Raw genomic sequence first — 14,844 nt, 5'->3', positions numbered from 1 at the left:
CATTTCATAGTACTCTTATTATACTTTATTGGAAAGATACTATTCAATTAAGCCACTAAATTTTGAGGTGATTTGTTATATAACAATAGAAAACTGATACAGATACTAGAGGATTATTCTCTTTTACTATATTATTAAAGCAAAGTCATATTTTTGAAGTCTCCAAATTACAAATTAGCCATATTTTAAAGTCAATTGTTTGAAATGTAAAATACATTGTCTCATAGAAACAGATATATGTAGTGACTCTCTTCATTGACTAGTCCATAGAGTCATTTTAACATATAGTGAGTCCAAATTCCTTATTTGCTATACAGAGAAAAATATCAAGAAATATGCATAGACGTTGCCTTGCATCTGCTCCAGAATACCAACTTGTGTCTGTGTAAGGTAAAACTCCACAAGGGAGGGCAAAAAGCAAATAGCAGCCAGTTGGCTGAGTAATTCCCAGAGCTCACACAAGACTGGAAGATGGGCCGGGTGCGGTGGCTCACGCCTGTAATCCCAGCACTTTGGGAGGCCAAGGCGGGCGGATCACAAGGTCAGGAGATTGAGACCATCCTGGCTAACACAGTGAAACCCCGTCTCTACTAAAAATACCAAAAAATTAGCCAGGTGTGGTGACGGGCGACTGTAGTCCCAGCTACTCCGGAGGCTGAGACAGAAGAATGGCATGAACCCGGGAGGTGGAGCTTGCAGTGAGCTGAGATCGTGCCACTGCACTCCAGCCTGGGCAACAGAGCAAGACTCCGTCTCAAAAAAAAAAAAAAAGACTGGAAGATGTTCTGGGAGACTCTGACCAACAGGAGTAATGAGTCCACACTGAACACTGGGGAATTCAACAGAGACCACAGAGGGGTTACACAGTAGAGCGGCTAAACTAACCCAGAGCAAAGGGTTTGCTCTAAAAAAAAAGAAGTTTAAAAACAAGCCCCCAAAGCATCACATTGATCCATAAGTAGTTTAACAAAACAAACTTCAACATTCTACATGAAGATTGTTTAAAAGTAATTTAACTGCATCTCAGAAAAACAATCTAAAACTCTTTAAAGGAAGACAACAAAATCCAGCCCTCAACAAAATACAATGTACAATGTTCAGCATCCAATCAAAAATTACCCAACATATAAAAAGGGAGGAAAATGTGTCCCATAAGCAAAAGAAAAATCAGTCAATAGAAACTCACCCGGAAATGACAGATAATGGAACTAGCAGACAAGAACTTAAAACAATTATAAATATATTCAAGGACTTAAAGGAAAGCATGAACATAATGAGCAGAGAAAGTAAAGACATAAGTATAATTCAAGTAAAAACTTTAAAGGTGAAAAATATAATATTGGTAATAAAAAAATCACTATTGGATTAACAATAGATTATTCACTGCAGAAGAAATAATCAGCGAATCTGAAGAAATAGCAATAGAAACTCTACAGATAGTTTCTGGGTAAAAGAAAATATTTTTGAAAAGAAAGAAAAAGAGAGAGAATGAGAGAGAGGGTGTTGGGGGAGAAAGGAGGGAGGTGAGCAAGAGAGATTGAAAAAATCTGAAGAAACAATGGCAAAATTTTTACAAATTTAATACACAGCATAAATCCACAGATGCAGGAAGCACAGTGAATCACAAATAGAATAAACACAAAGAAAACCACCTCAGAATAATTTTTTGAAAACCAGTGATGAAAAGAAAAATTTTAAAGAAGGCAGAAAATAAAGATATTGTATGTGTAGGATAAAAGATAAGAATAAATACATTTTTTTTTTGCCAGAAACTAGGCAAGCTAGAAAATAATAGAACAACTTTAAAGTGCTTAAAGGAAAAAAAAAAAAAAGACAACCTATACCCAGTGAAAATATTCTGTGAAAATGAAGACAAAAATAAGGATGTATTTAATCAAACACAATCTAACAGAATGCATCACCAGTATCTCTCCCTGCACTACAAGATACCCAGCACTTTTTTTTTTTTTTTGAGACAGAGTCTTGCTCTGTTGCCCAGGCTGGAGTGCAGTGGCGTGATCTTGGCTCACTGCAACCTCTGCCTCCTGGGTTCAAGCAATTCTCTACCATGTCCAGCTAATTTTTGTATTTTTAGTAGAGACAGGGTTTCACCATGTTGGCTAGGCTGGTCTTGAACTCCTGACCTCGTGATCCACCTGCCTCAGCCTCTCAAAATGCTGGGATTACAGGTGTGAGCCACCGCGCCAGCCTACCTGGCACTTTATTAAAGGAAGTGCTTCTGGCAAAGGAAAGTGATGTCAAAAACTTGGGCCTACATGAAAAAATGAAAAGTGCCGCAAACGGCAAAAGCAGATGGTCCCTGATTTATGATGATTCAATTTACTGTTTTTAGCTTTACAATGGTGCAAAAGTGATAGGCATTCAGCAGAAACCACACTTCAAGAACCCATAAAACCATTCTGTTTTTCACTTTCAGTATAGTTTTCAATAAATTACATGAGATATTCAACATTTTATTATAAAATAGGCTTTTTGTTAGATGATTTTTGCCCAACTGTAGGCTAATGTAAGTGTTCTGAGCACTTTTAAGGTAGGCTAAACTAAGCTATGATGTTCAGTAGATAATGTGCCTTAAATGCTTTTTTGACTTACGATGGGTTTGTCAGGACATTACTCCATGATAAGTTGAGGAGCAGATGTATATGGGTGGCTACAAAGGACTTTTTTCTAATTTGCAAATTTTTTAAAAAGATAATTGACTGTTTAGCACATTGAGAGAATTATGTATAAAAGTAAAATAAGTAACAACACTAGCAAAGGAAGGGAAGTGGGAAATGGAAGGATACAAAACGAGAGAAAGAGAATTACTACAATGATCACCCAGATATGTGTCACTCCAACTCATCAGTTGTTAAAATCTTGCCACTTTAATGTTAAATCCTCTCTCTCTCCAACTCAGCATTAGTTTTGCTGAATTACCTGAAAGTAATATGCTGACATCAGGACACTTCACTCATAAATATCTCAATATGGGTCCACTCAAGTACAAGAATAATCTCCTATGCAAACATAAAACAATTACCACACTCAGAAAACTCAGTGTTGATACAGTGCCATCATCTAACATAAAGCCCATATTCAAATATTCCCAATTGCCCATAGATCACATGCTTTGAACTCAAAATTGAAAATCTCTCCCAGAAGGAAGCTCCCTATCTTTAAGATTACAGTTGTCCTTTGGTATTTGTGGGGATACCCCTTCAGATGCCGAAATCCACAGATGCTCAAGCCTCTGTTATAAAATGGTGTAGTGTTTGCATATAACCTATGCACATCCTCCTGTATACTTTAAATTATCTCTAGATTATTTATATTACCTAATACAATGTAAAAGTTATGTAAATAGTTGTTATGCTGCATCATTTAGGAACTAATGGCAATAAAAAGTTTGTACATGTTCAGTACAAGTGCATTCATTTTTTTTTTCAAATACTTTTTTATCTGTGGCTGGTTGAATCCACAGATGTGGCACCCATGGATATGGAGGGCCAGCTCTATATTTTTTACCTTCTTATCTGCACAACAAAAGGAAAATGCTTGGCTTACTCTCATCTCTCTGGAATTTCAGGTCAGCCATTCTTTTGTGTGAATGTTTCCAAGTCAGGAATCTATCTGTACTTATTTTTTGTTACTTTTAATATTTATTTATGTAATTCTTGGATTAAAACTCATCTTCATAAGTTTGGGGAGCTAAATGTTAAGAACTTATGAACACAAAGAAGAAAACAGGCCAGGCGGGGTGACTCACACCTGTAATCCCAGCACTTTGGGAGTCTGAGGTGGGCGGATCACTTGAGGTCAGGAGTTCAAGACCAGCTTGGCCAATATGGTGAAACCCCATCTCTACTAAAAATACAAAAATTAGCCAGGCATGGTGGCACACGCCTGTAATCCCAGCTATATGGAAGGCTGAGGCAGGAGAATCACTTGAACCAGGTGGCAGAATTTGCAGTAGCCGAGATCGCACCACTGTGCTACAGCCTGGGTGACAGAGTGAGACTCCGTCTCAAGAAAACCAAAGGAAACGACAGACACTGGGGTCTACTTAAGTGGGAGGGTGGGAGAAGGAGGAGGAGCAGAAAAGACAACTATTGTGTACTGGGCTTAATACCTGAGTGATGAAATAGTATGTACAACAAACCCCCGTGACATGTGTTTACCTATGTAACAAACCTTCATATGCATCCCCAAACCTAAAATAAAAGTTAAAGTAAATAAATATATAAATAGAAGCAAATGCCTCAGAACTCGTTTTTGTTTTGTTTTGTTTTGTTTTTAAAAAAAGAGCAGAGATTGTTTTTCCCTAACCCCAAATGTATTCTCAGAACCTAACAAGTGCTTGGCACATAATAGGTGTCTAATAAATGTTCGTGGAGTTAATGAATGGATAAAGTGTTTAAGTTGGGGAAATGCCTGTATCTACTTTATATATCTCTGCATCTCATAGAATTGGGCCTTCAATGGGAGTAAAATAGATCCTTATTAAGTAAAGGAATATTTCACACCATAGCTAGAACTACGCTTTGACTGTTCCTTTTGCACTTTTCTTCTACATTTTAGAAACAGAAGAGTAATATAGGGAATACTGGATTTGATCTTCAATTCACTGCATCGAACTGTAGAAATTTAGTAACTATAGGGGGAACTATTACTGTGACAATAGAGAAATTAGTTTTTCATAATATTAATACAGCCACATATCACTATCATATTATTCATTATGCACTTAGTGTCAAACCTGTACTAAGTACTTTACATGCATTTTTAAATTTTATTTTTTAAAGTCAGATTTATTGAGGTACATGTGACTTTCAGTGAAACTCATACTTTTTAGTATGTAGTTCTGTGCAGTTTAATAAGTACACGTAACTACCGTCACAATATAAAACATTTCCATTACCCCTCCCTGCAAATTCTCTTATGCTCTTTTTTTTTTTTTTTTGAGATAGAGTCTTGCTCTGTCACCAGGCTGGAGTGCAGTCGTGCGATCTCTGCTCACTGTAACCTCTGACTCCCTGGTTCAAGCCATTCTCCTGCCTTAGCCTCCTGAGTAGCTGGGATTACAGGCAGGTGTCATCACGCACAGCTAATTTTTTTTGTATTATTTGTAGAGACGGGGTTTCACCACGTTGGCCAGGATAGTCTCAATCTTCTGACCTCGTGATCCACCCACCTTGGTCTCCCAAAGTGCTGGGATTACAGGTGTGAGCCACTGCATCCAGCCTATACTCCTTTATATACACTATTTAGTCCTCCTAATTACCTTAGTAGACATTACTATTTATTATTTCCATGTTTTGGAGAGGAAAAACTGAGGCTAAGAGCAGTTCAGGGATCTATTGAGGGTTGTTGCATAGTAAATGGCAGAGCTTGGACTCCAAATCCTATGATCTAAGTACTTCACCATGCCAATAGTATTTTGTAGTACTGTATTTCATATGTTCAGAATTGCATTTCCCATTTTGTTACACATTGAGATGGTTAGGGAGTTGTGACAACAGGAGAAAATTAAAATGAATTTTTCAAAAATAGAATAAGGTAAATGAATTACAAGATAGATTATATGTCATATTAGAAGTGTACCCTCTCTATGTTACACAACATTAAAGCCAAGTAAAATTTTAGTTGATTGATATGGTAGTGAATATTTCAAAAGCTCGAGAATTTTAACTTTACTTCACAACCAAGAAACCCATTAGTCGCTTGACTGTAGAAATGTCCAAGGATAAGATGTGGGAATTAGCAGCTGCCTGACATGTCAGACCTAGGTGGTCACCATCCTCAAGTAGCTTACCATTGAGTTTCACAGATAAAACAAAGTCTTTTGTAGTTACTGTTTTGTTTAGAGTTCTGCCATGATGGTAGCCTTAGTTGGCCCCTGGTTCTGATTTGGTCTTCCCGATTTCCAGAAACCTCTCTACCGACTGTTGCTGAAAAAGCAGCAGAAGCCAGACAGGCAGCCTTACAGAGGTCATGTTATCTTTGCACAAAGTGAGCTTCTCTGCTGGTTCAAGCTGTAGGAAACAACGAATTATTCTAGTTAATTTCAAAAACCTAGTCTGTTTTAGAAATCTATGTTAACAACCCTAAAAACATGTATTTTATCAAAGAAGTTTTTAACACTGAGTGGAAAGACATTTCCATTGCACAATCTAAAGCCAAATAGATTGCTTTGAGCTAATCATGTGTGTTCAATACGCATCGTTTTACCTAGATGTTTGCTTATAGCTACATAATTTAGTTATTCTCCTATCTACATTCGGTTAAACCTCTATGGCCCCTGGTGATGATATTTTTACAAACATCATTGCCATTAGCCAATTCTGAGTCCCAGGAGACACATGCTAAAATTTTTCTTCTTATCATTCTTATCATTTCTTTGTGTTATTAATATTAATGCTTTAGCAAACAAGACTGCCTAGAGAGAGTGATTTATGAGCTAATTATAGACAGTCCTCACTATGTAAATAAGGCCTGTGTACATAGTTTAGGATTTCTCAAGATGGAGCCAATGTATTAGAAAAATCCTATATCATATTTATTTTAGTTTATTTAATAGTTGGAAATTTTTCCTTCAGTAGCAATTTTTTTTTTTTTAGCAAAGCAAGAGTGATCTAAAGACAAATACAGTAAATAAAGTAGATGATCCACCATACATATTTTTTTTCTGTGGGGGGAATAATTAGCTGAATTTATAAAGTAATGTGAATAGTTTCATTTGTGTATTTCTTTAACTGGCTTTAAAAGCAATTGCAAAAAGTTTTGTCGATGCCTTGAGTAATTACATTATTGTTCAACAAGCATGTGATCTCCTGGAGCTTCAACTTTGAAGGACAACATATTTTATGTTTAATTATGCTTGCTTAAAAATAAGTCACCTATCCTCAAAAAACTAAAAATAAAGCTACCATAGGATACAGCGGTCCCACTCCTAGGTATATATCCAAAAGAAAGGAAATCAGTATATCAAAGACATATCTGCACTCCCATGTTTATTGCAGTACTATTCACAATAACCAAGATTTAGAAGCAACCTAAGTATCCATCAACAGATGAGTGGATAAAGAAAATGTGGTACATGTACATAATGGAGTACTATTCAGTCATAAAACAGAATGAGATCATGTCAATTGCAACATGGATGGAAACAGAGGTCACTATGTTGAGTGAAATAAACCAGCCACAGTAAGACAAACATCACGTGTTCTCACCGATTTGTGGGAGCTAAAAAGACAACTGGACCCATGGAGATAGAGAGTAGAAGGATGGTTACCAAAGGCTGGGATAGGTAGTGGGGTTGCGGTGAGGCGGAAGTGGGAATGGTTAATGGGTACAAAAGTAGTTAGAAAGAATGAATAAGACCTAGTATTTGCTAGCACAGCAGGGTGACTATAGTAAATAATAATTTAATTGTACCTTTTAAAATAACTAAAAGTATAATTGGATTGTTCATAACACAAAGGATAAATGCTTGAAGGGATAGATACCACATTTACCTTGAGGTGATTATTATGCATTGCATGCCTTTATCAAAATATCTCATATAACTCATGAATATATACACCTACCGTGTACTCGCAAAAAATTAAAAAGTCATCTAACTTTAAAGGATATCATCCTAACTTTATATCCTAAAGTTCATTCAAGGCCTTAATTCAGGGATTCGCATGAGCTATAGAGAATTTACAGCCGGGCTCGGTGTGTAATCCCGGCACTTTGGGAGGCTGAGGCGGGTGGATCCCTTGAGGTTAGGAGTTCAAGACCAGCCTGGGCAACATGGTGAAACCCTATCTCTACAAAAACTACAAAAATTAGCCAGGCATGGTTGTGTGTGCCTGTAGTCACAGCTACCCGGGAGGCTGAGGTGGGAGCATCGCCCGAGCCCAGGAGGTTGAGGCTGCAGTGAGCCGTGAGTGTGCCAGTGTACTCCATCCTAGGTAACAGAGCAAGACACAGTCTCAAAGGAAAAAAAAAAAGAACTTGGCTGATTACTACTTTTTCAAGAGAAAAAGGAAAGAGAATTTACTGGCAATTAGGAGTTAACACTGAAAATTTTAATAAATACATCTTTCAGTTAATCAATAAGCATTGCCCAAGGTAGTGTTAAGTGCTTTATGTGGGACCAGAAACATTCTTCAGGAGGTTAAAATCTAGTTCGACACCTAAGACTAAGAAACATCAAATAATTAAGGGATAAAGTAAAGAAGTTGCTGCTGTAAATTTTTATCATTAGTTATTAGTTTACTAATCTAATACATAAAAACTAACAGTAAATTTTATTTTTGTCTTATGTCTTGGCCATACCTTAGTCCACTATTACTCCGCCTTCTTCCTAGCTTGGCCTAAATAACTATAGGACGACACTCATACCTGACACATTCAAATTGCTTGGATGCAGTCCTGTCCTGAAACTAAGATATACATCTACATACCACACAGGCTAAGCATTGACTACCTATGGTAAATTGAGAACATTATATAATTCTTCCAGATGAGTGAGGGCTTTGCAAGAGAGGATGTAATTATTATATGAAGAAATGAAAATAACACTCTCCTTTCTCATTTGCAATGCTTATTAAATTGTATGAATTACATGTTACCAGATTGTTTATTCATATTTGCTTTGTTCTGAAAAAGGATTTGAGACTGTTGAATGAAAATAGGTAACACATAAGCAACGAGCTGTGTGGGTTCTTTTCCCTACTCAGAAACATAGAATATAATTTCATATACTGTAGTAATGGCATAATAAAGTGGCTTAATAAGCAGCCAGTTTCAAACACTGCTTAACTGGCTAGTTATGGGTAATTTATGCATGGGATAATGCAGCCCATCAGTTGCTACATTTATTTAGCATCCAGAGGTTTTGCGTAAATGAATCAATCAATTCAATTTAAAAACTAGTATAATTTATTTCCTCCTACTTAATTGACATTGGCTCTGATGTACCCATTACCTCAATTATGGAATTCTAGATTCAAGTCCATAGTACTGGATCTTGGACAGACTGTCATTTTAAAATAGAATTAAATGAGCTCATGTACCAGACATGGCTAGTTGCCAATACTCATTCTCCCTTCTTCAAAACATTACCCTGATTCTGTTTGAGGTGAGAACACTCTCTAACTAAAAGTACTTGATTTCCCAGCTTGTTTTCCAGATAGAGGTAGTCATTTGGCACAATCACGACCAGTTAGATGTGGGTGAACATCTGTGGCGAGGATTTGCTTCCTTGAATGGAATGGTAAACCTTTGAGAGGAGGAAGTCCTTGGCCTCCATCCTTTCTGTCTTCTTTTCGTCTTCCTTCCTGAGACATGAATGTTATGCCAAAGAAGCCAAACCCATCTTATGGCCCAGAGGATTGCAGGGCAGGAAGAAAGAAGCATTTGGAACAATGACGCTACCATGGGGCCACTACCCAAGCCCTAGACTTCTTGTAATGTGAACAACAACTAAAAATCTAATTTTGGTTGAGTTTTCTGCCACCTGCTGTCAAATTTCAAATACTATAAAGGTGCCCAAAGTGGGTGCCAAAAAAATGTTAGCAATTATGTGAGAGATTCCTAAAGATCAGGAAATACTTTAGGAAAGCTTTAATTAATTAATTAATTAACATGAAAAAGGGGAGTAAGTCTAATAGCAGGGAGGTAAAAACAATGATGTTATTAATATTTATTATTATTTTTTTTTAATAGAGACATAGTCTTCCTGTGCTGCCCAGGCTGGTCTTGAAGTCCTGGGCTCAAGCAATCCTCCATGCTTGGCCTCCCAAACTGTTGGGATTACAGGCATGAGCCACCACACCCAGCCAATAGTTATTATTATGGTTAATTTTTTGAGTGCTTACCATACACCAGGCACTGTGTAATATTGTATATATATATAAATATAAATATGCATATAACATACAGCACATATATAAACAGATGTTTATTTGTTATGTATATATAACATATGTATAATTTATTACTATAACAATACTATAGGGTTGCAACTATTGTTACCCCATTTCATAGGTGAGAAGAATAAAGCTTAGGAAGGTTAAATAAATGTGGCTACAGGCGCATGCCACCACACCTGGCTAAATTTTTGTATTTTTAGTGGGGACAGGGTTTTGCCATGTTGGTCAGAGTGGTCTTGAACTCCTGACCTCAGGTGTTCCACCTCCCTTGGCCTCCCAAAGTACTGGGATTACAGGCATGAGCTGCCACGCCTGGTCAAAACATCCTGCTTTTTAAATGAAGTATCAGATTAAGACATGTAGGCAAAAAAGCAATGTAGCAGCAATGCATGAAGAATAGGTTTATCTGTTAATCCCTAAATAGCTGGTATTTGAGTATCAGGAACTACAGAGACATCTAGAGGGGAAGAGGAAAGGTCTGAAACCGTGGCCAAGAGACGCAAAGCTATGCACTGCCCCTCAGAACTTCATGATGGCAAAGAACAGTTTATTGTGTTGAACTTTTGTTTACACTGATGTGTATATATTAAAATAAGACGTATTTGTTAAAGTGTGGTGGTGGTCAGGAGAATACACTTCACAGATCTTTACTGAGTGAGAGTGATTGATTGAGGGCCCAGGGACTGAGCATGCTGGAGATTAGAGGGCAGTCCTATTCCATGGGACTCCTCTGACTGATGACTTTGGCTTGAGACATCTAAAAATTTCTTGTTGCACCTACCTTAGGCTAAACTGGCTTCTATCCACCTGCTCCTTTGCTCCACTGACAGCTGGCTTTCCCAGCCCCTCCTCTCTCCCTACATTTTCCTTTTCTTTTTCTTTTTCTTTTTTTTTTTTGAGACCAAGTCTTGCTCTGTTGCCCAAGCTGGAGTGCAATGGTGTGATCTTGGGTCATTGCAACCTCAGCCCCCCGGAGTTCAAGTGATTCTCCTGCCTCAGCCTCCTGAGTAGCTGGGATTACAGCATGTGCCGCCATGCCCGGCTAATTTTTGTATTTTTAGTAGAGGCAGGTTTTCACCATACTGGTCAGGCTGGTCTTGAACTCCTGACGTCAGTTGATCCGCCCGCCTCCACCTCCCAAAGTGCTGGGATTACAGGCTTGAGCCACAGAGCCTGGCCTTCTTTTTTTTTTTTTTTTTTCAGGGATGTCCCCATGTTCCCTGGGCCAGTCTCAAACTCCTGGGCTCAAGCGATCCTTCTGCCTCAGCCTCTCAAAGTGCTAGGATTACAGGCGTGAGCCACCATGCCTGACCCCCCTACATTTTCTATCACAGAGACTTCTCCTAGAGAAATATTTGTAAATTTAATCCTGTCCTGGAGTCTGCTTCTGGGAGGACCCAGACTAACATGAGTGATAAATGTCTTCTTAAGAAAATGCCTCCAGTCTAGACTGCTCCCTCAAACTCTAGATCTCTTTAGATGTTACCATAAAATTCCATAAGGATACTTTGCAGGTAATCCCCCACCTTTTTAATAGACTTAGTTTTTCTTTTTTCTTTTTTTTTTTTTTTTAGACTTAGTTTTTCTAGAGCATTCTTAGGGTCATAAGAAATTTGAATAGAAGGTACAGAGACTTCCCATATATCCTCTGCCCCCACACAGGTATAGCCCCCCACTAACAACATTGCCCACCAGAGTGACATTAACCAACTTTGAGCTCTAGGGAACACATGCTAAAAATTTTCTTCTTATCAGTTTTATAATTTCTTTGTATCATTAATATTAATACTTCAGCAAACAACAATGCTTAGAGACAGTGATTCATGGGCTAATTTTAGACAGTCCTCACTACATAAATAAGGCCTGTAGTTTACAACTGATGAACCTACATTTACACATCATTATCACACAGTGCCCATAGCTTACCATAGGGTTCACTCTTGATGTTGTACAGTCTAGGGGTTTGGATAACTTATAATGACATATATCCACCATTCTAGTGTCATGCAGAGTAGTTTCACTGCCCTAAGAGTCACTGGTGCTTTGCCTGTTCATCCCTCCCTCCCTTCAACCCCTGATTTTTTTTTTTTTTTGAGATGGAGTCTCACTGTGTTGCCCAGGCTGGAGTGCAGCCATGTGATCTCAGCTTACTGCAACCTCTGCCACCCAGATTCAAGTGATTCTCTGGCCTCAGCCTCCTATGTAGCTGGGATTACAGGTGCCCACCACCACACCCAGATAATTTTAGTATTTTTAGTAGAGACAGAGTTTTGCCACATTGGCCAGCCTGGTCTTGAACTCCCAACCTCAGGAGATCCAACAGCTTCAGCCTCCCAAAGTACTGGGATTACAGGCGTGAGCCACCACACAGGGCAATCACTTGTCTTTTAAGTGTCTTTATAGTTTTACCATTTCCAGAATGTTGTGTAGTTGGGACCATACAGTATGTAGCCTTTTTGGGCTGGCTTTTTTCACTTAGCAACATACATTTAAGTTTCATTAAATGTCTTTTCATGACTTGATGGCACATTTCTTTTTAGTGATGAATAATATTCTATTTGTCTGTATGTACCATAGTTTATCCGTTCACCCACTGAAGGATATCTTGGTTGCCTCCAAGTTTTGGTATTTGTGAATAAAGCTTCTACAAACATCCATATGGATAGAAGTTTTTGTATGAACACAAGTTTTCAACTCCTTTGTGTAAATACCAAGGAGCCCAATTGCAGGATCAGATGGGAAGATTGTGTTTAGTTTTGTAAGAAGCCACCAAATTGTGTTCCAAAGTGGCTGTACCATTTTGCATTCCCACCAGCAATGAATGAGACTTCCTGTTGCTCACATCCTTGCAGGCGTTTGGTGTTGCTAGTGGGTAATCTCGTTTTGGCATTGGTCTTGGTTAACAGCCTGAACACTAACACCTCAGCCGCCCTCACAAACTCACCCAATCAGTCACTAAAGTCCTTGATTATTCCTCTTGAACATTTCTTCTTTCCACCCTCTTCTTCATCCCACTGCCTTGCCTTTGTCATCATTTCCCAGTTGACTGTGGTAGTTTTTCAATTGCTCCCATTGCCTCCAGAGACATCGCCAGTCAAAACACACTTTATGTTAGCTGGGTGTGCTGGTTTGGGCCTGTAGTCACAGCTATCTGGGACAGTCCTAACTACATAAATAAGGCCTGTAGGTTACAATCGATGAACCTGCATTTACACATCTATCATGCAGTGTCCATAGCTTACTACAGGGTTCATTCTTGGTGTCGTACAGTCTAGGGGTTTGGATAAATTTCTAATGACATGTATCTACCATTCTAGTATCATGCATAGTCATTTTATGCCCTAAAAATCCTTGGTGCTTTCAGGGAGGCTTGCTGCCTCAGGAGCCTGAGGCAGGAGGATCATTTGAGTCCAAGGCTACAGTGAGCTATGATCGCACCACTGCACTCCAGCCTGGGTGACAGAACAAGACCCTGTCTATTAAACAAACAAACACTCACTACGGTCTGAGAAAACTTCCAAAACCACACATCTGGTCATATCATGCCTTTGATTGAGACTTTCCGTGGATCCCCTCTGGTTACAGTGTCTTTAGAACCTTTTTAACATGACCCACTGGAATAAAAACATTCCACATCAGGACTCAATAAACACATTCTTATTCAAGATATGCACGTGTATGCATAATATATATAACTAAAGTAAAAGTTTTATGAAACAAACTTACTCCTGCTACTTGTGATGCACTTTGATATTTTCTATGTTATTCTATTCTGTTCTGTTCTACAAAATTTTATTTAACACAAGAAATTATTGCAAACCACTAAATTAATCTTACAATCTAGTAACAGATTATAACTAATAGTTTGAAAAACCTAGAGGTCTGGAAGATGAAGTCCAAATTCCTTTCCTTGGCTTCTGATCCTTCTCTTGATGTAAGGTTGGACAATAATTCCAGCTTCATTCATCTCACCGGTAAAACCACTGAATGCCTGCTATATGTCAGTTACAATGTGGGGAATTAAACAGTGAGTAATGAATGGCTCAGTGCCAACCAGAAAAGACAGTGCAGCATTCTGTGGGACACAGACCAGCAAAAGTCTATTACTATTCAATGATAAAATGAAGGTAAATACTGTTAAGACAGCACATAATAAGGCGATATTCTTGGGGGAAGTAGAGAGAGCTTCCCGGAAGAAACCTCTAAAGTGACATCTAACAGCTAAGTAGGAATTAATCAGGAAAAAGGGGTGGTGAGAGGTATTGTCCCAGGCAGAAGAAGTAGCCTGTTTATTGGAGGCAAAAGAGGGCATAAGGTTGTACCAGAAGGGTGAGCTTTTTGAAGACTAAAAAGTGATTCATTGTGGCGAGAGACTCAGAGCTCCGGGAGGCATAGGGTAGGAGATGCAGATGGAGAGGTAAAGAACGCCCCCTGGAGGATATTGAAGGCCACACTTCTCTTCCAGGCTTTCAGATTGCATCCCAGGGAGTCCAAGACTCCACAGAGGGGCCTCGGGGACAGAGGGAGAGTATCAGATGAAGGCCAAGCAGGCCAGACTTTCCTTACCACCTTCAACCTAAGTAGCAGCGGCACAAGCATCGTGGCATTTTACATGGACCCGTTTTGAAGACAGTGAAGAAAATAGAGTGGAAGAAGGCAAGACTGACAGCTGTGCCAAACTGGAAGAGTGGCAGCAAGAGGGTAAGAGGACAGGAGCGGGCAGAACTTAAAGTCAGGATAAAGAAAAGACAGCACTGGGGATTTAATTTTGAACAAATCCTCATATTTTACACCTTCCGTGTCTTTGTGTATTTTGTTCCCTCTGCCTAGAGCAGGATTCTTGACCTTATTTAATTATTCATTTTTTTCTTTTGCAATGCATATCTTAGACTGTCTGGGAAATCTAAGAATAATGTATTTA

The sequence above is a fragment of the Homo sapiens genome, chromosome 6 (assembly GCF_000001405.40).
Source record: "Homo sapiens chromosome 6, GRCh38.p14 Primary Assembly".
Lineage (NCBI taxonomy): Eukaryota > Metazoa > Chordata > Mammalia > Primates > Hominidae > Homo > Homo sapiens.
The sequence above is the reverse complement of the archived record's forward strand: the minus strand, read 5'-3'. Positions refer to the sequence as shown.